Source organism: Homo sapiens, chromosome 16 (genome assembly GCF_000001405.40).
Source record: "Homo sapiens chromosome 16, GRCh38.p14 Primary Assembly".
In the NCBI taxonomy this organism is placed as follows: Eukaryota; Metazoa; Chordata; class Mammalia; order Primates; family Hominidae; genus Homo; species Homo sapiens.
In genome coordinates this window covers 58391710-58412838 of record NC_000016.10, presented here as the reverse complement: position 1 = coordinate 58412838, position 21129 = coordinate 58391710, and the positions used below count along the sequence as shown (strand labels likewise).

The 21129-nt window shown below is 45.9% G+C and overlaps 1 protein-coding gene across 3 annotated transcripts, besides 5 other annotated features; it reads right to left on the bottom strand.

The window, feature by feature from the left end:
• Positions 1-6691: 6691 nt before the first annotated feature.
• GINS3 (GINS complex subunit 3) lies at positions 6692-20368 on the bottom strand. 3 transcript variants are annotated; one of them, NM_001126129.2, is made up of 4 exons: positions 20052-20368; positions 17621-17737; positions 9508-9741; positions 6692-8340 (listed from the first exon to the last, which is right to left on the bottom strand). In NM_001126129.2, the coding sequence occupies exons 1-4, from the start codon at positions 20235-20237 to the stop codon at positions 8110-8112; spliced, it is 768 nt and encodes a 255-aa protein (NP_001119601.1). In that variant the 5' UTR covers positions 20238-20368; the 3' UTR covers positions 6692-8109. The 3 variants fall into 3 exon arrangements, with proteins under 3 accessions (NP_001119601.1, NP_073607.2, NP_001119602.1); NM_022770.4 differs by lacking the exon at positions 17621-17737; NM_001126130.2 differs by lacking the exons at positions 9508-9741; positions 17621-17737.
• Positions 16901-17546: an enhancer, noted in NCBI's record as "NANOG-H3K27ac hESC enhancer chr16:58429197-58429842 (GRCh37/hg19 assembly coordinates)". NCBI's record gives its function as "activates a minimal SCP1, AML or CMV promoter by ChIP-STARR-seq in naive H9 embryonic stem cells {active_cell/tissue: H9 hESC(naive)}" and the evidence as "EXISTENCE:reporter gene assay evidence [ECO:0000049][PMID:30033119]".
• Positions 19575-20151: an enhancer, noted in NCBI's record as "H3K27ac hESC enhancer chr16:58426592-58427168 (GRCh37/hg19 assembly coordinates)". NCBI's record gives its function as "activates a minimal SCP1, AML or CMV promoter by ChIP-STARR-seq in primed H9 embryonic stem cells {active_cell/tissue: H9 hESC(primed)}" and the evidence as "EXISTENCE:reporter gene assay evidence [ECO:0000049][PMID:30033119]".
• Positions 19575-20729: a biological region, named in NCBI's record as "H3K27ac hESC enhancers GRCh37_chr16:58426014-58426591 and GRCh37_chr16:58426592-58427168".
• Positions 20056-20545: an enhancer, noted in NCBI's record as "active region_10925". NCBI's record gives its function as "activates an Ori minimal core promoter by ATAC-STARR-seq in GM12878 lymphoblastoid cells {active_cell/tissue: GM12878}" and the evidence as "EXISTENCE:reporter gene assay evidence [ECO:0000049][PMID:35858748]".
• Positions 20152-20729: an enhancer, noted in NCBI's record as "H3K27ac hESC enhancer chr16:58426014-58426591 (GRCh37/hg19 assembly coordinates)". NCBI's record gives its function as "activates a minimal SCP1, AML or CMV promoter by ChIP-STARR-seq in primed H9 embryonic stem cells {active_cell/tissue: H9 hESC(primed)}" and the evidence as "EXISTENCE:reporter gene assay evidence [ECO:0000049][PMID:30033119]".

The window sequence follows — 21129 nt, the reverse complement described above, 5'->3', positions numbered from 1 at the left end:
TTTAAAAAGAAGCATGCCGGCACGGTGGCTCACACCTGTGGTCCCACCTATTCAGGAGGCTGAGGCAGGAGAATCACTTGAACCTGGGATGTGGAGGTTGCAGTGCACCGAGATCGCGCCACTGCACTCCAGCCTGGGAAACAGAGTGAGACTCCACCTCAAAAAAAAAAAAAAGTAAATAAATAAATAAATAAATAAATAAATAAAAAGCAGCACATTACTGCATGTTTACCTAGCATCTCAGATAAAGAAATCAGAGTGAACATGAAATGCTAAATTAGAAAACAAGTGTCCTTTGAAACAGTTTTTAAAATGTTCTGCTCCTGAACCAAAGAGATAGCTGAGTGCTAAGTCCTCTCGGTCCTATTAAGATAAGGCCACTCTCTGGGAACAACCATTGACATCTCTCTCCTCCATGACTGGTAATGCTGGCTTTTAATACCAGTGTCTGCCTCCAGTCTAACAAGCCTCAAAACAAATCCCAAGCACACTTTCTCTTCTTCTTCTTCCTCTTTCTCTTCTTCTTTCTTCTTTCTTTCTTCTTCTTGTTCTTCTTCCTCCTCCTCTTCTTCTTCTTCTTTTCTTTCTTCTTCTTCTTTTTTTTTTTTTTTTTTTTGAAGACTAACTCTTCCTCACTCTGCGGCCCAGTCTGGAGTGCAGTGGTGTGATCTCTGTTCACTGCAACCTCTGCCTTTCAGGTTCAAACAATTCTCGTAACCCAGACTCCCAAGTAGCTAGAACTACAGGCGCATGCCACCACGCCTGGCTAATATTTGTATTTTTAGTGGACACAGGGTTTCACCATGTTGGCTAGGTTGGTCTCAAACTACTGACATCAAGTGATCCACCCACTTCAGCCTCCCAAAGTGCTGGGATTACAGGTGAGTCACCGCGCCTGCCTACTTTCCCTTCAATGAATGACACTTTCTTGTATGTGCCTCATTTGCTGCACTTGAATCTATACTCCTTAGCTACCTGTTTGCTTTCCTGTGTCCAAAGAAAAGAAAATGCCCTCAAGGAAGAATTTTTGTTGTACAAAAGGAGACATACAAGTCATGTGAGAATCAAATAAACTTTTTTTTTTTTTAAACCTGGAAATAAACTTCTCTCTCAAGGGTGATACAGGAGCAGAAAGCGCTGTAAAGGCTTGAAACTCTGGGTTCTTTCTTCTTTTTTTCTTTCTCCCTTCCTTCCTCCCTTCCTCTCCCTTCCTCCCTTCCTCTCCCTTCCTCCCTTCCTTCCTCCCCCTTCCTTCCTTCCTCTCTTCCTTCCTTTTTCTTCTTTCCCTCCCTCCCTCCTTCCTTTTCTTTCTTTCTTTCTTCTCTTTTTCTTTTTTCTTTCTTTCTCTCTTCCTTCCTTCTTTCTTTTTCTTTCTCTTTTTCTTTCTTCTTTCTTTTTTCTTTCTTCTTTCCTTTTCTTTCTTTTCTTTTTCTTTTTGTTTTTTTGAGACAGGGTCTTACTCCCTTCACTCAGGCTGGAGTTCAGTGGCGCTCTCACTGCTCACTGTAGCCTCAATTTCCCTGGGCTCAAGCAGTCCTCCCATCTTAGCCTCCTGAGTAGCTGGGACCACAGGCATGAGCCACCACGCTCAGCTAATGTTTTATTTTTTGCAGGGGCGAGGTCTTACCATGTTGGCCAGGCTGGTCTCAAACACCCAGGCTCAAGCTAGCCTCCTGCTGCAGCCTCCCAAAGTGCTGGGATTATAGGCAGGAGCCACCTCGCTCGGCCTGATTTTTTCTTTGTCCTGAGCCACGGGTGGGAGATGTTTGCAGGATGAGCTGATTCCATGTGCACCATTATGAATTCTGAAACACTGGCAGTTCCCAGGCACTATTTTCAGAGCTATGCTGACACTTAATCATGTTGGTGTAGAAAGCCATGCTTGTTTTAAACTCATTTAGACACAGAGAAAATTAGCTAGAGAGTGCCAGAAGAGAAAGGAGAAGAAAATCAAGTTATTGCTGTCAAAGAGAAAGAATGCTAAAAGTTCTAAGTAAAATCAGAGGCCTTTTCCCGTCAGTCGCAAGTACTAGGGGAAAAGTAAAAATTTCAATGAAAGGCAAATATTCGACCAGGCACAGTGCCTCATACCTGTAATCCCAGCATTTTGGGAGGCCGAAGCGGGTGGATCACCTGATGTCAGGAGTTCAAGACCAGCCTGGCCAAGATGGCAAAACCCCATCTCTACTAATAATGTTAAAATTAGCCAGGCATGGTGGCAGACAGCTGTAATCCCAGCTACTCAGGAGTCTGAGGCAGGAGAATCGCTTGAACCCGGGAGGCAGAGGTTACAGTGAGCTGAGATTGTGCCATTACACTCCAGCCTAGGCAACAGAGCAAGACTCCATCTCAAACAAATAAATAAATAAAAATAAAAAATTAAATTAAATTAAAAAGAAAGAAAAGCAAATATTCTTTCTCTTCTTGATGAGCTTACCAGTAGTTTCATCCTATGCAAGCTCCAACTGGCCCCAGTGCGCCTGCCTTAATGCAGTGACACCTTTCCAATAAGCTGAGCTACTGAATTAACGTAGCAAAGAGTCTGATGCAGTTTTGCTTTAAAAAATAATTGCCCTCTAAGTGCAATGTGGGACTTTGGATTGGATTCTGAAACAGGAAAAGGACATTTATGGAAAATCTGTTGAAATCTGCATAAAGCCCATGGTTTAGTTAAAAGTGTTGTAGCAATGTTAACTTCTTAGTGGTGATAAATGTACCATGATTATGTAGGACGTTAGGGAAAGTTGGGTGAAGGATATATGGGAACTCTCTGTCTTACCTTTACAACTGCCCTATAAATCTAAAATTATTTCTAAAATAAAAAGTTTGGCTGGGTGCAGTGGCTCATATCTGTAATTCCAGCACTTTGGGAGGCCAAGATGGATGGATCACTTGAGTTCAGGAGTTTGAGACCCACCTGGGCAACATAGCGAGACCCTGTCTCTACAAAAAATAAAAAAAAAAATTAGCCAGTGTGGTGCTGCATGCCTGTAATTCCAGCTACTCCAGAGGCTGAGGTGGGAGAATCGCTTGAGCCTGGGAGTTAGAGGTCAAAGTGAGCTGAGATTGCACCACTGAACTCCAGCCTGGGTGACAGAGCGAGACACTGCCTCGAGAAAAAAAAAAAGTTTAATGAAATCATGCTTACTTTGTTGATTTGACTTGATCTTGAAAAAGCAGATACAGAAAGGAGACCTCTGTTTCTGGGTGTGTCCTCATTTGCAGCTTTCCCTAGACCACAAGGCTGGCAACGGGACAGCGTAGCCCAGGAGGAGAATGCTGCTATACTAAAGTAAGGTTGCTTGGCAAGCAAGTTGTGTCTGGCTGCACTGTGTCTCCTTTGATTAACTAGGCAGAAAAGCAGAAGCCTAGAAAAACAAAATGAGCTCAAACAAAAGCAGGCTGGGCCTGTCACCTATATTAGTCATTTGCTCTCAGGAAAAGAGTGACTCTACATTTTTCCAGACTTGTCCTTGATTCACTGTACATTTTATTTGTTACTATTAAGGATGAGAAATTTTCTCCTCCTCATTCAAAAGGATAATATCAAGAGTTAGCAAAACACACACACACACACACACACACACACACACACACACACACACACAGATTTAGCAACAGAATTCCAGCTTTCAGATACCTTTCCTTAGGTTTAGAACATTTACTTAATTATCTTTCAAACAACTGTTTCTATGTGTACTCAATATTAAAAATTTATCGGCCAGGCACAGTGGCTCATGCCTGTAATCCGAGCACTCTGGGACGACAAGGCAGGTGGACTGATTGAGCTCAGGAGTTTGAGACCAGACTGGACTACATACTGAGACCTCGTCTCTACAAAAAATACAAAAATTAGCCAGGCATGGTGGCACATGCCTGTAATCCCAGTTACTTGGGGGGCTGAGGTGGGAGGATTGTTTAAGCCTGGGAGGTCAAGGCTGCAGTGAGCTGTGATTGGGCCACTGCACTCCAGCTTGGGTGGCAAAGTGAGACCTTGTCTCAAAAATAAAATAAAATGACCTAAAAATCTGCCTTCACTAGATAAGGAATGTTTAAATTATATTTCTTAGACTAGTTCTTACAGTTGGCCTGGTGTGGTGGCTCATGCCTGTAATCCCAGCACTTTGGGAGGCCGAGGCGGGTGGATTACGAGGTCAGGAGATCGAGACCATCCTGGCTAACATGGTGAAACCTTGTCTCTATTAAAAATACAAAAATTAGCTGGACGTGGTGGCACACACCTGTAATCCCAGCTACTCAGGAGGCTGAAGCAGGAGAACTGCTTGAACCCGGAGGCAGAAGTTGCAGTGAGCTGGGATCGCGCCCCTGCACTCCAGCCTTGGTGACAGAGCAAGCTCTGTCTCAAAAAAAAAAAAAAAAAAAAAAAAAAAAAAAAAATTCTTACAGTTAAGCATCTACCTTACATTTTATAGATTTTTCTCCTGAACACAAAAATATCTGTTTGAGAAATATATATATGGCCTCTGCAGTTATTTTCTTTTGCCAAGCTCAGTTTAAAATATTACATTTTCACGTAGACACAATTGTTTCGAGCATAAAGAACAAAAGCTCTCTTGGGGCCGGGCGCGGTGGCTCACGCCTGTAATCCCAGCACTTTGGGAGGCCGAGGCGGGTGGATCACGAGGTCAGGAGATCGGGACCATCCTGGCTAACACGGTGAAACCCCGTCTCCACTAAAAATACAAAAAATTAGCAGGGTGGGGTGGCGGGCGCCTGTAGTCCCAGCTACTCGGGAGGCTGAGGCAGGAGAATGGCGTGAACCTGTGAGGCGGAGCTTGCAGTGAGCCGAGATCGCGCCACTGCACTCCAGCCTGGGCCACAGAGCGACTCCATCTCAAAAAAAAAAAAAAAAAGCTCTCTTGGGGTTTCTTGAAGGATGGGAGGGGGACAGAACAGACAGACACAGAGTGGAACTGACTGCTGTTTGAACTTGAGTCACTCAGTGCTTCTGCATGCCGGTTTCACTAGTTCAGGCACAGTATTCCAGAAACCTCGGGTTCAGAGGTGCTGAGAGGTTAGTGAGAAGCTCTGTAAGATGCTCAGAATTCTTAGGGAGAAGGTGGACTTTTTATTTAAAATAAGAAACAAATTATTTCTGCCATGCAAGCAATAAAGAAATTCAACATCAGATTAGCAGGGTAAAGATGACTTTTTTTTTTTTTTTTTGAGACAGAGTCTTGCTCTGTCACCAAGGCTGGAGTGCAGAGGTGTGATCTCAGCTCACTGCAACCTCTGTCCCCTGGGTTCAAGTGATTTCCTGCCTCAGCCTCCCGAGTAGCTGGGATTACAGGCGCCCACCATCATGCCTGGTTAATTTTTGTATTTCCAGTAGAGACAGGTTTCACTGTTGGCCCTTCTGGTCTCAAACTTCTGACCTCAAGTTATCCACCTGCCTCGACCTCCCGAAGTGCTGGGATTACAGGCATGAGCCACCGCACCGGGCCCAAAGATTAGTTTTTAACAAAGTGTGCTGGGATAACTGACTATCCTTTTTCTCTGAGATGGGAGGGTCTTGAGCAGAGAATCGACAAGATTGGATATACTTCTTAACAAGAGCACTCTGGCTGCTATGGTGAGAAGAGTCTGAAGATGGAGTGGAGGGTGAATGCAGGGAGGCAGTTAGGGGGTGATCCCAAAACTCCAGGAAAGAAACGGTAGGGGCCTGGCCCGAGTGACAGCACCACAGGTGATGGGGAGGTGGCCGGATGCTGCAAATGATTTGACGGCAGACCCAAAAGATATGGAGCGTGAGAGGAGGAAGGTCAGGGGGGGACATAGCGTTTTTGTTCTAAGCAATAGGGAAGGATGGAGTTGTAAAAAATGGAGATGGGAAACATCAGAGGAGGAGCAGGCCGTGGAGACGTAGAAACATCAAGCAGGGGATTGGATACAAGTCTGGAGTTGGAGGGAGCGATCTGAGCTGGAGATAGGAATTTGGGAGCCATCTGCGTGGAGATGGAGAGGCATGGACAGCCCAGAGCCACCCAAATCCAGAGGTCACGAACAGCAGGAGGAATCAACAGTGACAGAGCCTTGCCCCACTGCTCCTGGCAGCCCACACTGTCCCTGGGAAAAACCTATATATACTGAGGTCTTCTGTCTGTAAGGCCACAGTCATGTGGGAACAGAGTGCTTCAGGGGAAAGGGCACAGCTTTACTCCCTGGAGTTTGATAGCAATTTGGTATTTGAGCCCATTTGTTGTGTTTTTTGAAAAATTAACCTCTTGAAGGGACCAAATCAAAATCTAAACGACTAACTGGAGGGCTGCTGGGGAGAGGGGAAGTCCGACAGGCTTGAAGGCAGATCTGTAATTGAAAATGAGTTCAAAAGCTACATGTAATATAATCTGTTCAAAATGTAAAATAGGGGCTAAGTTTTGGACATGAATACCTACATATTCCTGACACATGGCCCCTGAGGAATTTCTTTTTTTTAGGAAGTAGGAAAAAATGGCAGCAGACTTAGAGTTGACTTTAAATATAAAGCTATGTGTGAAAAGAATGATGCCAAAAGTTAAATAATATGCTTTTCTCGCTCTATGAATGGTTTCTCGGGCCCTGGCTATATATAAATGCTGCGGTAGTAATGGAAATCTCATCTTCCTAGGACACAGCACCCTCCTACAGAGAATGTACCTCCTATTTATGTGTACCACACAAGCAAAAGAGCAGCTGCTAAAACATGGATTTGTGTATTACCGTCAAATATGATCAAAGACACAATTCTGATAGCTTTGATTATCTGTAGTACTAGTGAAAGAGCACTTGTACAGAACATATTCATGTACAAAGCCAATCATTTATTTAGCACTAAAATCAAATTATAAAAACAACAATTCCATCTTAAAACAGGCATTTTAAAAGCATTTCTGTGGTTCTAAGTTTGCATCAAGACAGCCTAAGTTTGCATCTGCACAATCTGGATACCCAAATCCCTCTATAATTTCCAAAGACAAAGACAATTTTTGCTAGTTGTGAGGTGTCAGGGGGAAGCAGTGATGCCCTGCAAACAGTCTAATGGGCCCAGGGAACCCTGTTTCTTTCTCAACCTGAGGTTGCATCCTTGATCTCCAGGAAAAGAGATTAGTGCTTGCTTAACCAGGTTCCTAGTAAATGGTCAGGGATCTTCTATGCAATAATGTTGCAAAAGTTACTGAAGAGGAAAAAAAAAGCACAACGGAGGCTTCTTGCCCATTTACACTTGCAATGTTAGATTTTGAAAACAGGGCCCTTCATAGTCAGCACCCAAGTCCTGACTTCCAGATGTAATGCAGGCTGGTTAACAGCCCTTAATAACTACATTGCAATTCCAAACGACTCCCTGACAGCTTTTCTAGACAGGGAGTAGAATTAAGTGTGCGGGTGCTCTTAGGCTCTCCGAGGCAATAACAAGCTCAGTTTAACCATTTCCCTTCTGGGTTGACTGCTGAGTTATGCAGATTCCAGTTCATTAAGCCCTGAGTATAGAGTATGAGGCCAACATCTTTTCTTTAGTAAAAGCCATGCCATTCGTCTGCCTTTCCCTTTTCCTCCTTTATCTGGGCGACTGTTTTTGGAAACTGGGGTAACTCCCTGCAGGCAGGCAGCAGGAGATATCTCCAAGTCAGGCTGGCATGGTGGGGTGCTATCCTCTGTACAACCATGAGGAAGATGAGGCAAATAAGATCAAGAGAGCATTTTGTGAACAGGCGATGACCCAGTTTGTACCTGTGCTTTGTGGCTAGTGAAACTGTACATCTGAAGCTGTCCAAACTCCCAGACACAAGGAATCTCAGTTGCAACTCTACTGTGATATATTATATGGCAGTGATTCTTATTTAGGAAGGACTTTGATTTCTCCTTGGCCATGGGTTCTTGGGTTAAAGGGCCTGGGCTGTGGGTCAGCAGGGTGGGACGGTCCTGGAAGACTCACAGAGCCAGGGACACCCACATCCTCCAGCATGTCCAGTTCCCTATAATTCTCTATGGCCACAGGAAATAAGCCATGAAATGGGACAGGATTCTGGTTCTGTACAAGGTCAACCAGCTCCTATCAAGGACACACGGAGGGATACGTCTGTGAGGAGCCATTCTGTGTTCTTCCGGCTTTCAGTCTTCCATATCAGTGAATTTTCTCTTCTTGTAATTCTGAACGAGGTTGGAAGCTGTGATCTGAGAAGCCTGCCCCTTCTCCCAACACTGAAAGTCATTCAGTCCTTTCTGCCCTGTTTGAAATAAGCCCCTCTCCATCTCGTCTAGCCTGGCTACCAGGGCTGAAGTGTCTTCGTTGTAAGCATTCTGTGAGGAGTCCATGATGCGGCGAAAACGTCCGATAAAAGTCTGGGAAACAAGGGAGTAAGACAAGTCAGGGTTGACCTCACACCCCACAAAGTCATATCCATTTTTATCTCAGAACATTTAAATGGCATGAAAAGAAAGAATGATGTGTAGGACTCAGAAGGAGGTCTGAATTCCCTCTAGCACCCAAGTAAGTTATTGCACATTGCCATGCCTCAATTTCCTCATCTGTGAAGTGGATTGTTATGAAAATCCAGTAAGTTGTTAAGAAAACCAATGAATACATGTAATGCACCTAGCAAATGGCTAGCACACAGCAAGCTCCTTGAGAAGCATCACCTATTATTGTCATTAGTAGCAAATGCTTCTGTCCCAAGAGGAAGAAATGATGGTTTCTTCTAACAGTAACAGAATAAAAAAGTAATTATGAAAAATTAAAATAAGGTTATACCATAAAGGTTGGGAACAGATGTATAACATTGTTTTGTCCTGGAAAAGTAATAACAATATGAGTTATTGTTTATTACACGGCATTACATAGTTTTACCACAACTCTATAATTTTGGCACTATTATCATCTCCATCAATTCTTACAGGTGAATTGATGTCTAGAGAGGTCAAGTAGCTTGACCAAGTCATATTGCTAGTTCATGGCAGGGCCAAGCCCTAACCCCAGAACAAAGGAAGGAAACAACCCAATAACTCTTGTATTTCCAACAGGAACCCTTAGGCCAGGCCTGGGACTGTGTATCTAAGTGCCTGTCACCTGTAATGCACCATAGCCCTTTTTTTCTCTTTTTTCTTTTTAATAGAGATGGGATCTCACTATGTTGCCCAGGTTGGTCTTGAACTCCTGGGCTCAGCGATCCTCCTGCCTTGGCCTCCCAAAGTGCTGGGATTACAGGTGTGAGCCACCATGCCTGGCCATCATCACCCTTTTCTCATTTCCTAGAGTTCCTGCTGGCCTCAACTTGTAGCAAGCAAATATGAGGAGTGGCAGACAAGTCATATTAAAAAAATGTGTGTGTGTGTGTGTGTGTGTGTGTATATATGTAAATATATAAAATGGACAGACAGTGTAACTGTAGGCTGACCTGGAATAAAAACAGACTAAATTTACAAGTCATACACTGTCCTGGGTAAAAGTAGTATCTGTGGCTGGCTCTTGAGACAAGTGCAGCACCACAGGTTTTCACACCCATTACTTGCCTGCAGCAGAGACTGGGAAATGTCTGCATTCTCGGGACTGTCAAAATGCAGGAGCTGGGAGCCAAACCCGTAGAAATGGGGCCCCATTTTGTGGAGGTCCACCACATTGGGATCTGCACTGAACACAGTCCTCCAACCCTCTTGGTAGATCTTGGGGAGTTCCACAGAAAGGATCCGTCGCTTGTTGTCAAAAAGTCCTTTTGCCAGCCACAAGGGTAGTTCAAGCTTGGAACCCTGCAGCATGCATGAATGTAGATTTTAAAAACAGACAAGTAACACAGCAAATGTGTGTGACGAAAAGGAAATACACATCGCCTGCGCAATACTGCCTTTTCTCTTTGGGGGAGTGGCTGTCAAGCACAGAAGACCTGGTCGTGACTCGAAGCAATGAAGTGTGTGGGCTGAAGTTTTATGTGATGATGGAATGGAGAGAGAAAATGGATTTATACAACAAAAACATGGTGAACAAAAATGTAGCATAAGTGAGAGTTTTCTAACTAACACATAAAAATTGTCCAATTGTAGACACTTCAGAGCTATAGTAAACATTTCCTTTTTCTTTGAATATTCAATATTTATTCTAAATATCCACTTGCCGAGTGCCTGCTATGTACTGAGCACCCTATTGGATGCTAGGGGTCAGAAAGAAAAATAAGATCAACCTGAGCTTGAGTGGCAGCCCCTTTCCATCCCACTTCACAGCTTCAGAGATGACAGCACACATGTCTCTAGTTTTTAAAGCCTCAATAGAATTAGAAAACAAGATGAGGTGGTCATGACAGACCAGAAATTAAGAGTCATAAATCTCCAAAAAAATCAAAGGCAAACAACTGGATTGAATGAAGCAGTAAGAGCCAAAACTCTCACAAGGGAGAACTGTTGCAAAAAGATGGGAGCAGCTTTGTGGGTGTGGAAGCAGAGCTTTTGGCAAACTGCACAGGACTAGACAGACCAATATTGAGTTCAAGGCTGCCAACACCACCAGGACATGAGGGCCTAAGATCTGAGAAAGAAGGGAGGGAAGTAAGCCCCCTATTTGACACCGAATAGCAGAGAAATTAGGCGCCAACTTTAAGATAAACTTAGAAATCAAATGGAAATTCCAGAACTGAAAAATACAATAATTGAACCTAAGAAGTCAATAGATTAAATCAAATTTAACATGTTTACTGGATTGGATTTGGATGAAGACAGGACTGTGAATGAGAAAAGGTCAATAGAAAATAACCAGACTAAAGTATCTAGAGAAAAAACAGAGAAGAGCCTAAGAGATGTATGAAATAAGGTGTAAAAGAAAGACAAAGTTCAACATGCATGTAATTTGATGGGCAGGAGCGATAGATTGAGGCAAAATAAATGTCTGAAGAGATAATAGCTATATATTATCCAAAATTAAAAAAGGTATCAAACCACAGATTCAAGGAACATTATGAATAACAAGTATTAATAGAATAAATACTAATAAAATCACAACTAGGCATATATTACCTGAATTACGAGACCAAAGACAGAGAAAATCCTAAAAACAGCTGTAGATGGGAGTGACGAACACACTGCCTTTAAAGAATGAACATTAAGAGTTAAACCCAACTTTTTGGCAGGGGCCGGTGGCTCACGCCTGTAATCCCAATAAAAGGTGAAGCCGGCTGGGCTTCTGGGTTGGGTGGGGACTTGGAGAACTTTTCTGTCTAGCTAAAGGATTGTAAATGCACCAATCAGTGCTCTGTATCTAGCTAAAGGTTTGTAAACACACCAATCAGCACTCTGTAAAAACAGACCAATCAGCACTCTGTAAAACGGACCAATCAGCACTCTGTAAAATGAACCATCAGCTCTCTGTAAAATGGACCAATCAGCAAGATGTGGGTGGGGCCAAATAAGGGAATAAAAGCAGGCCACCAAGCCACCAGCAGCAACCTGCTTGGGTCCCCTTCCACGCTGTGGAAGCTTTGTTCTTTAGCTCTTCACAGTAAGTCTTGATGGCTGCTCACTCTTTGGATCCCCACTACCTTCATGAGCTGTAACACTCACTGCAAAGGTCTGCAGCTTCACTCCTGAAGCCAGCGAGACCACAAACCCACCAGAAGAAAGAAACTCCGGACACATCTGAACATCTAAAGGAACAAACTCCGGACACACCACCTTTAGGAACTGTAACACTCACCACAAGGGTCTTCGGCTTCATTCTTGAAGTCAGCGAGACCAGCGAGACCAAGAACCCACCTGAAGGAACCAATTCCAGACACACCAATAATTTGGGAGGCCAAGGCGGGCAAATCACATGGGCTCAGGGGTTCGAGACGGGCCTGACCAACATGGTGAAACCCCGTTTCTACTAAAAATACAAAAATTAGCCAGGCATAGTGGTGGGCGCCTGTAATCCTAGCTACTCAGGAGGCTGAGGCAGAAGACTCGCTTGAACACAGGAGGCAGAGGTTACAGTGAGCCGAGATCACACCATTGTACTCCAGCCTGGGCGACAGAGCAAGACTCTGTCTCAAAAAAGAAAAAAAAAAAAAAAAGCCAACTTCTTAACAGAAACTGTGGAAGCCACAAAACAATGGAAATGGAATTTTTTTTTTATGTGCTAAAAGAACATAACTGTGAGTGTAAAATCTTATACCCAGTGAAAATATCCTTTAAAAGTAAAAGTGAAATAAAGGCATTTCCATAGAGAAAGTATGCAGGAAAGATACACAGTAGGCCTGAGGCTGCTATCTTAGCAAGGCCTGCTGCAAGGTTGGCCCTTGGTTGGCATTTGGGAACTTGGATTTCAGGAGGATTCTCACCCGTCCTAGAACTGATGAGAGTGTGCCTGAACTGTCTGTGCAAACAATGTGATTCATGTTGAACACCTGCTTTCCCTCTGGAAGTCTGAATTTTGGTCTGTGCTAGACAGAAAGTGCCACATGAACAGCCTCCAATAAAACCCTGGGGACTGAGTCTTTAACAAGCTTCCCTAGGAGACAGTATTTCAAACATTTTATCAGAATTCAAATTACTGGAGAATTTAAGTGCATCCTGTGTGACTCCACTAGGAGAGGACTCTTGGAAGCTTGTGCCTGGTCTCCTCCAGACTTTACTCCATGCAACCTTTCCCTCTGCTAATTTTGCTTTATATCCTTTTGATGTAATCAATCTTAACCATGAGTGTGACTATATGCTGAGTCCTTTGAGTCCTCTTAGTGAATCATCAAATCTGGGTTGGTCTTGGGCATCTGTGACACAGACAGAAACTGAGACTTATCACCAGAAGATCCAGAATAAGGGAATTCTGAAGAGAGAATGCAAATGATTCCAGAAAGAACTACAGAAATGCAGAAAGGAAAAACAAGTCATGAAAAGAATATATAAGTGGGTATATAATAATAATGTTTTACAGGGGTTTTCAATGAGTCAAACTAGAATACATCACAATAACACAAGAGAAAAAATGGGTTTAAGTGTTCTAAGATTCTAGTCATTTCTGTGAAGTGGTGAAAGTAGTAACTTATATAACATTCTTTTTGGTCAGAAATGATTGTGTAATATATTTAAGGTAGCCACTAAAATAACAGAAGAATATATAACTAAATAAACTAATAAAAAGGTAAATGAATAATAAAATAAATTTGATTAATGCAAAAGGAAGTCAAGAAAGGATAGAAAAAGAAAGCTAAAACAGATGGGACATAAGAAAATAGTAAGAAGGTAAAAATGAATACAAATATGTCAATAATTAAATGTAAATGGATTAAATATAACAATTAAAAATCAGCACACTGCACACAAAACAAAACCCAACTATATGCTGCATAAAAGAGACATACCTTAAATATGAAGACACAGAAAAATTAAAAATAGGATTAAAAAAAGTCATGTAAACATGAATCAAAAGACAGGAGCATTAGAGATAAAGGGAGACGTGACAATAATAAAAGGGTCATTATATCTACCAGAAAATTATTAATATATGTCTAAATTAACAGAAGTAAAAGGATAAACAGGCTAATCCATAATCATAATGAGAGACTTTAACATTTTTTCAATTTTTTTTTTTTTTTCAGAGAGGGGGTCCTGTTCTGTCACCCAGGCTGGAGTGCAGTGGTCTTCTAGGCTCAAGTAATCCTCTTGCCTCAGTCTCCTGAGTAGGTGGGACTATAGGCATGTGCCACCACACTCAGCTAATTTTTCAATTTTTCCTAGAGACAGGGTCTTGCTATGTTGCTTAGGCTGATCTCAAACTCCTGGCCTCAAGTGATCCTCTCACCTCCACCTCCCAAAGTGCTAGGGTTACAGGCAGGAGCCACCATGCCTGGTCCACATGTTTTACAGGATAAAAAAAAAAGTAGAAAAAAAAATTGCAAGGATAGAGAATATCTCAACAAAACAATTAACAAATGAGCTAATTTACACATACGGATTATTTATTGCACACTATGACTTCCCATAGACATCTTTTCAAGTCCACACAGAATGGTTAAATTGGTCTTATGCTTTGCCATAGAGCAAGTCTCAGCAACTTTCAAGACTGAAATCATGTAGACTATGTTTTCTGGCCACGGTGGAATTAAGCTAGAAATAAAAAATGGTAAATGACCAAATCTCAAAATGTTTGAAATTAAGCACTAGTCTTCTAAATACCTACAGGTCAAAAAAGAAATCACAATTAAACAGTATTTTAAACAGTATTTTAAAACGCAAAATTAAACAGTATTTTAAAATTTTTATTTATTTTCTTTTGAGACAGTATCTTGCTGTGTCATCTAGGCTGGAGTGCAGTGGTGTGATCACGGCTCACTGCAGTACTGACCCTCCAAGGCTTAAGTGATCCTCTTGCCTCAGCCTCCTGAGTAGCTGTGACCACAGGTGTGTGCTACCATGCTCGGCTTTTTTAAAAAATTTTTTGTAGAGATGGGGACTCACTATGTTGCCTAGGCTGGTCTCGAACTCCTGGGCTCAAGTGATCCTCCTGCCTCCACCTCCCAGTGTTGGGTCTATAGGTGTGAGCCACCATGCCTGGCCTAAAAAGTATTTTTAGTTCATTGATAATGAAAATATAACACATCAAAACTTATGAAACGCAATTAAAGTTGTGAATTGAATAGAATAATTTCACTTAAAAGAAATGAATAGCTATGAATGTATAAAAGAAGATTGAAAAATTAATGACCTAGGTTTCCATCTCAAAATGTGTATCTGTGTGTGTGTGTGTGGTGGGAGAATTAAGCCCAAATAAAGTAGAAGGAAAGAACTAATTAAAAAATTAATGACCTAAAAAACAAAGGTACAAAAGAGAAAACCAACAGAGTCCTAAGTTAGTTCTTTTAAAAGAATAAAAAAATTGATAGACTCCTGGCAAGGGTAATCAAGAAAGGGAGAACACAATTTATTGATATTAAAAATAAAAATAAGGACACCACTGTAATCCTACTGACATTAAAAAGATAGTAAAGGAAATTCTGAACATTGTACTGATACCATTGAAAATTTAGACAAGCTCTCCCTCTCCCTTTCCCTCTCCCTCTCCCCACGGTCTCCCTCTCCCTCTCTTTCCACGGTCTCCCTCTGATGCCGAGCCGAAGCTGGACTGTACTGCTGCCATCTCGGCTCACTGCAACCTCCCTGCCTGATTCTCCTGCCTCAGCCTGCCGAGTGCCTGTGATTGCAGGCGCGCGCCGCCACGCCTGACTGGTTTTCGTATTTTTTTGGTGGAGACGGGGTTTCGCTGTGTTGGCCGGGCTGGTCTCCAGCTCCTAACCGCGAGTGATCCGCCAGCCTCAGCCTCCCGAGGTGCCGGGATGGCAGACGGAGTCACGTTCACTCAGTGCTCAATGGTGCCCAGGCTGGAGTGCAGTGGCGTGATCTCGGCTCGATACAACCTCCACCTCCCAGCTGCCTGCCTTGGCCCCCCAAAGTGCCGAGATTGCAGCCTCTGCCCGGCTGCCACCCCGTCTGGGAAGTGAGGAGCCTCTCTGCCTGGCTGCCCAGTCTGGAAAGTGAGGAGCGTCTCTGCCCGGCCGCCATCCCATCTAGGAAGTGAGGAGCGTCTCTGCCCGGCCGCCCATCGTCTGAGATGTGGGGAGTGCCTCTGCCCTGCTGCCCCGTCTGGGATGTGAGGAGCATCTCTGCCCGGCCGCCCCGTCTGAGAAGTGAGGAGACCCTCTGCCTGGCAACCACCCCGTCTGAGAAGTGAGGAGCCCCTCCGCCCGGCAGCTACACCGTCTGGGAAGTGAGGAGCGTCTCCGCCCGGCAGCCACCCCATCCAGGAGGGAGGTGGGGGTCAGCCCCCCGCCCGGCCAGCCGCCCTGTCCGGAAGGGAGGTGGGGGGGTCAGCCCCCCGCCCAGCCAGCCGCCCTCTCCTGGAGGTGAGGGGCGCCTCTGCCCGGCCACCCCTACTGGGATGTGAGGAGCACCTCTGCCCGGCCAGCCGCCCCGTCCGGGAAGGAGGTGGGGGGGTCAGCCCCCCGCCCGGCCAGCCGCCCCGTCCGGGAGGTGAGGGGCGCCTCTGCCCGGCCGCCCCTACTGGGAAGTGAGGAGCCCCTCTGCCCGGCCAGCCGCCCTGTCCGGGAAGGAGGTGGGGGGGTCAGCCCCCCGCCCGGCCAGCCGCCCCGTCCGGGAGGGAGGTGGGGAGGTCAGCCCCCCGCCCGGCCAGCCGCCCCGTCCGGGAGGGAGGTCGGGGGGTCAGCCCACCGCCCGGCCAGCCGCCCCGTCCGGGAAGGGAGGTGGGGGGATCAGCCCCCCGCCCGGCCAGCCGCCCCGTCCGGGAGGGAGGTGGGGGGGATCAGCCCCCGCCCGACCAGCCGCCCCGTCCGGGAGGGAGGTGGGGGGGTCAGCCCCCGCCCGGCCAGCCTCCCCGTCCGGGAGGTGAGGGGCGCCTCTGCCCGGCCGCCCCTACTGGGAAGTGAGGAGCCCCTCTGCCCAGCCAGCCGCCCCGTCCGGGAGGGAGGTGGGGGGGTCAGCCCCCTGCCCGGCCAGCCGCCCCATCCGGGAGGTGAGGGGCGCCTCTGCCCGGCCGCCCCTACTGGTAAGTGAGGAGCCCCTCTGCCCGGCCAGCCGCCCCGTCCGGGAGGGAGGTGGGGGAGTCAGCCCCCCACCCGGCCAGCCGCCCCGTCTGGGAGGTGAGGGGCGCCTCTGCCCGGCCGCCCCTACTGGTAAGTGAGGAGCCCCTCTGCCCGGCCAGCCGCCCCGTCCAAGAGGGAGGTGGGGGGGTCAGCCCCCCACCCAGCCAGCCGCCCCGTCCGGGAGGGAGGTGGGGGAGTCAGCCCCCCGCCCGGCCAGCCGCCCCGTCCGGGAGGTGAGGGGCGCCTCTGCCCGGCCGCCCCTACTGGAAAGTGAGGAGCCCCTCTGCCCAGCCAGCCGCCCTGTCCGGGAGGGAGGTGGGGGGGCCAGCCCCCCGCCCAGCCAGCCGCCCCGTCCGGGAGGTGAGGGGCACCTCTGCCCGGCCGCCCCTACTGGGAAGTGAGGAGCCCCTCTGCCCGGCCACCACCCCGTCTGGGAGGTGTACTCAACAGCTCATTGAGAACGGGCCAGGATGACAATGGCGGCTTTGTGGAATAGAAAGGGGGGAAAGGTGGGGAAAAGATTGAGAAATCGGATGGTTGCTGTGTCTGTGTAGAAACAAGTAGACGTGGGAGACTTTTCATTTTGTTCTGTACTAAGAAAAATTCTTCTGCCTTGGGATCCTGTTGATCTGTGACCTTACCCCCAACCCTGTGCTCTCTGAAACATATGCTGTGTCCACTCAGGGGTTGAATGGATTAAGGGTGGTGCAAGATGTGCTTTGTTAAACAGATGCTTGAAGGCAGCATGCTCGTTAAGAGTCATCACCACTCCCTAATCTCAAGTACCCAGGGACACAAACACTGCGGAAGGCCGCAGGGTCCTCTGCCTAGGAAAACCAGAGACCTTTGTTCACTTGTTTATCTGCTTGACCTTCCCTCCACTATTGTCCTGTGACCCTGCCAAATCCCCCTTTGCGAGAAACACCCAAGAATGATCAATTAAAAAAAAAATATATATATATATATACAAATATTACAGAAGAATTTCAAATGTACAAATAGAAAAAAAAAAAAAAGAAAATTTAGACAAAAAAAAAATACAAAAATTAGCTGGACATGGTGGCATGTACCTGCAATACCAGCCACATAGGTGGCTGAGGTGGGAGGATCTCTGGAGCCTGGGAGGTCAAGGCTGCAGTGAGCCATATCACACCACTGCACTCCAGCCTGGGCAACAGAGCAAAACCCTGTCTCAAAAAAAAAAAAAAAAAATTAGATAAAATGGTCAAAGTTTTAGTTAAAAACCAAATATACCAAAACTAACACAAGAAGAAATCAAGTCTGAATAATCCTATAAATGAAATTAAATGTCATACAAACCTTCCTACACAAATCTCCCATGCAGAAGGATTCTAAAGATTTAATGTAGACACTCTGCACTCAAAGAAGTGGAACATAACTCCCTACTCCTTCAGTGTGACAGTGATAATGACTTCCATCCAAAGAGTACAGTATGAAAAGGTGGAGAAACCTAATGAACATTACCTCTGCCAAGGTTCAAATGAACAGTACAAAGTCCTGTTGATAGTAGGCACCCTTAATATGTGATGAAAATGGCACTTTACCTCTGTGGTCTTCCTCCCTAAAGCTGATAATCAAGTCTAATGCTGAGAAAAAAAGAATAAAAAACAAAAACAAAGAAGGCTGGGCGAGGTGGCTTACGCCTGTAATCCCAGTACTTTGGGAGGCTGAGTTGGGTGGATCACTTGAAGTCAGGAGTTCCAGACCAGCCTGGCCAACCTGGTGAAACCTCATCTCTACTAAAAATACAAAAATTGGCTGGGTGTGGTGGTGGGCGCCTGTAATCTCAGCTACTTGGGAGGCTGAGGCAGAATTGCTTGAACCCAGGAGGTGGAGGAGGCTGCAGTGAGCTGAGATTATGCCACTGCACTCTGGCCTAGATGACAGGGTAACTCCGTGTCAAAAAAACAAACAAAAAAACAAAACCAAAAACAAAACTACCCCCAAACCAAAGATTTCCAACTGAGGAACATTTTACAAAATACCTGACCACCACTCCACAAAACCGTCGAGGTCATTAGAACAAGGAGGTCTGATTAATTGTCACAACCAAGAGAAGGCTAAGGAAACATGTCTACTAAATGCAGTGTGGTATCCTAGGTGGAATCCTAGAATAGAAAAAGGGCATTAACTAAAAACTAAGGAAATATGAATTAAGTATGGGCAGCATAGCGCCATGTTTACCAGTGTGTATGGGAACGAAATCCTCATCTGCTAGGATGAAGTCAACAGATAATGTCTACATTAAAAAAAACAACCCAACAAGGTAAGTTTAAGAATATTATTTAGAAATATGAAGATGAATCTTGAAGACACCACTAAAAAAGGTACATGAGCCCTGTGGACTTGGAGGGGGAAGTGGGAAAAGGAAGGCAGGACCTGCTATTTTTTTTCTTATAAATCTTTTGGTACTATTTGACTTTTTTTTTTTTTTTTTTTGAGATGGAGTCTCACTCTGTCGCCAGGCTGGAGTGCAGTGGCACAGTCTCGGCTCACTGCAACCTCTGCCTCCTGGGTTCAAGAAATTCTCCTGCCTCAGCCTCCAGAGTAGCTGAGATTACAGGCGCCGGCCACCACACCCAGCTTTCTAGTAGAGATGGGGTTTCACCATGTTGGCCAGGATGGTCTGGATCTCTTGACCTCGTGATCCGCCCGCCTCAGCCTCCCAAAGTGCTGGGATTACAGGCGTGAGCCACCGCATCCGGCCTATTTGACTTTTAAAACGTTGGTTATGTATTACTTTGATAAAAATTAACTTGAAACAAACAGACCAAACAATAAACATCGTTCTATACAAAACTTAGGTGAAACAGGATATCCAAATTAATCATTACAAGCCATGTTCCTGGGACAATTTTATATTTGAAGCCATATGGCCTTGGGTTCCGAATCCCAGCTCACCACTAACTGAAGCCCTGGCCAAGTGACCCAGCCTTTCTGGTTGCTGAAGGATTAAAGGGAAAAGCTTACTCCCCACACCCAACCATGCTGCCACTAAGTAAGCCTCAGTAGGGCTTACTGATCCTGTCATCATTATGGAGGAATGAATTTAGCAACTTGGGGTTCCTACTTATCACATGCTCTTACAGAACCCAAAGCTGTTTTAAGGCAAACATGATCAGAACTCTAATTCTTAAGTATTCAGCTGGAGCCAATCTTTAAGCATTCAACACACGTTGCATGGGGTAGGGGGAAGACACTAATTTGGACAGTTTCAAAAAAGAAATCAATGTTGGAGGCTGCCTGGCGACCTAGGATAAATGTAGTTTCACCACAGATGGCGAACAAGAAGTCTGGAGACCACCCCGAGCGCGAAGGGACCCCCGCGGAGTTTCCGAGAAGTCGTTAGCGCCTTCGGCCCTGGCTCCTCGAAAACTACAAATCCCAAAGGGCAGCGCGCCCCGATGCGGCGTCCCAGGGCCGAGGGGCCCGCCGGGAGCTGCAGTCTTTCCGGGCAGGACCCCGCACCCAAAGGCTCACCTGTGGGACCGCGTTGTCAGTCTCGGCGCCTGCGCTCCGCTCCAGGAAGAAAGCGCCAAGGCGAGGCATGGCGGTCTCCGTGCGCACCGGCAGCTTCTCGTGGGACATCAGGATGTCGTCCAAAGAAAGAAAGTTCTCCTCAGGCCCCAGCGCACCCGACTCCACTCGGAAATAAGCCTCTGACATGGCGGCCACTTGAGCTTCTCCGCTTCCACTCGCGTGATTCGGAGGAGCCTCAGGAGTTAGGGGTGTACAAGACGGGGAAGCGGAGACTGGGCAGGATGGTTGGGGTCAGGAAAGTGGATTGAAACTCGTTTCCCGCGCCCGGGGACGCATCAGACAGGAGCAGTCAATTCGGGCGGTACCGCCCAGGCAGAAGCAATCGATCAAGTCTGCAGATTTAGAGCAGCGGGACACGGCTGGGGAGCGGTAGGTGGGGGCGCCGGAAGTTCTCTTCCCTCCGCTTGCTGCACGGTGTGGGAACGTTACGAAGAAGCTGGAACGCTCGTTGAAGCTCCTGGACCCATTTGTACTGGATTGTGTTCATGTGATCCTTAACTATTTATATGAAATTAAAAACACTTTGCAACACTTTTAGGGGTTTAAAATAAAAGCATCTTGTGCCCTTCACTCCAGGCCTAAGTCCGACCCTTTCCTACAGTTTTTTTCACTATGCAACTCCGTTAATCTTAGTATTTGAAAGAAATGTTAAACAAACAAAAACTTCCAGCACTATCCCCAGCGAGTTATTATGGTCTAGATGATGAACTAGTGTGTTGTATTTTGTTAGTATTTTGGTGGGGGTTGGACGGGGTGGGTAGAGGGGTGGAGCACTAGACTGCACATGGCTTGCTAAGGTTGTGAGTATACTTCAGGGTGTCTTAGCTCATCATCAACTGACAATCTCCTTTTGTGGCTCTGAATTTAAATCCCTAAAAATGGAAATCCAATTGGTCCAGTTTATTGATTGGTCCAGGTACGCCACAATGGTCATAGATCTCCAGCCACCCTGTAGATGGGGGTGCCTGTGTTGGGTGCGATCACTATCCAGTGACCAGGGGAAGGACCATGGTCGCAT

Excerpts from the sequence above, each read along its gene's own strand:
- GINS3 (NM_001126129.2), bottom strand. The coding sequence starts at position 20,237 with ATGTCAGAGGCTTATTTCCGAGTGGAGTCGGGTGCGCTGGGGCCTGAG. Across the intron at positions 9,742-17,620 it reads CTATGTGGCTGGTATTGCAG|GGTTCCAAGCTTGAACTACC; the intron begins GTACATGCCACC and ends TGCATGCTGCAG. Across the intron at positions 8,341-9,507 it reads TTTCCCAGTCTCTGCTGCAG|ACTTTTATCGGACGTTTTCG; the intron begins GCAAGTAATGGG and ends CTTGTTTCCCAG.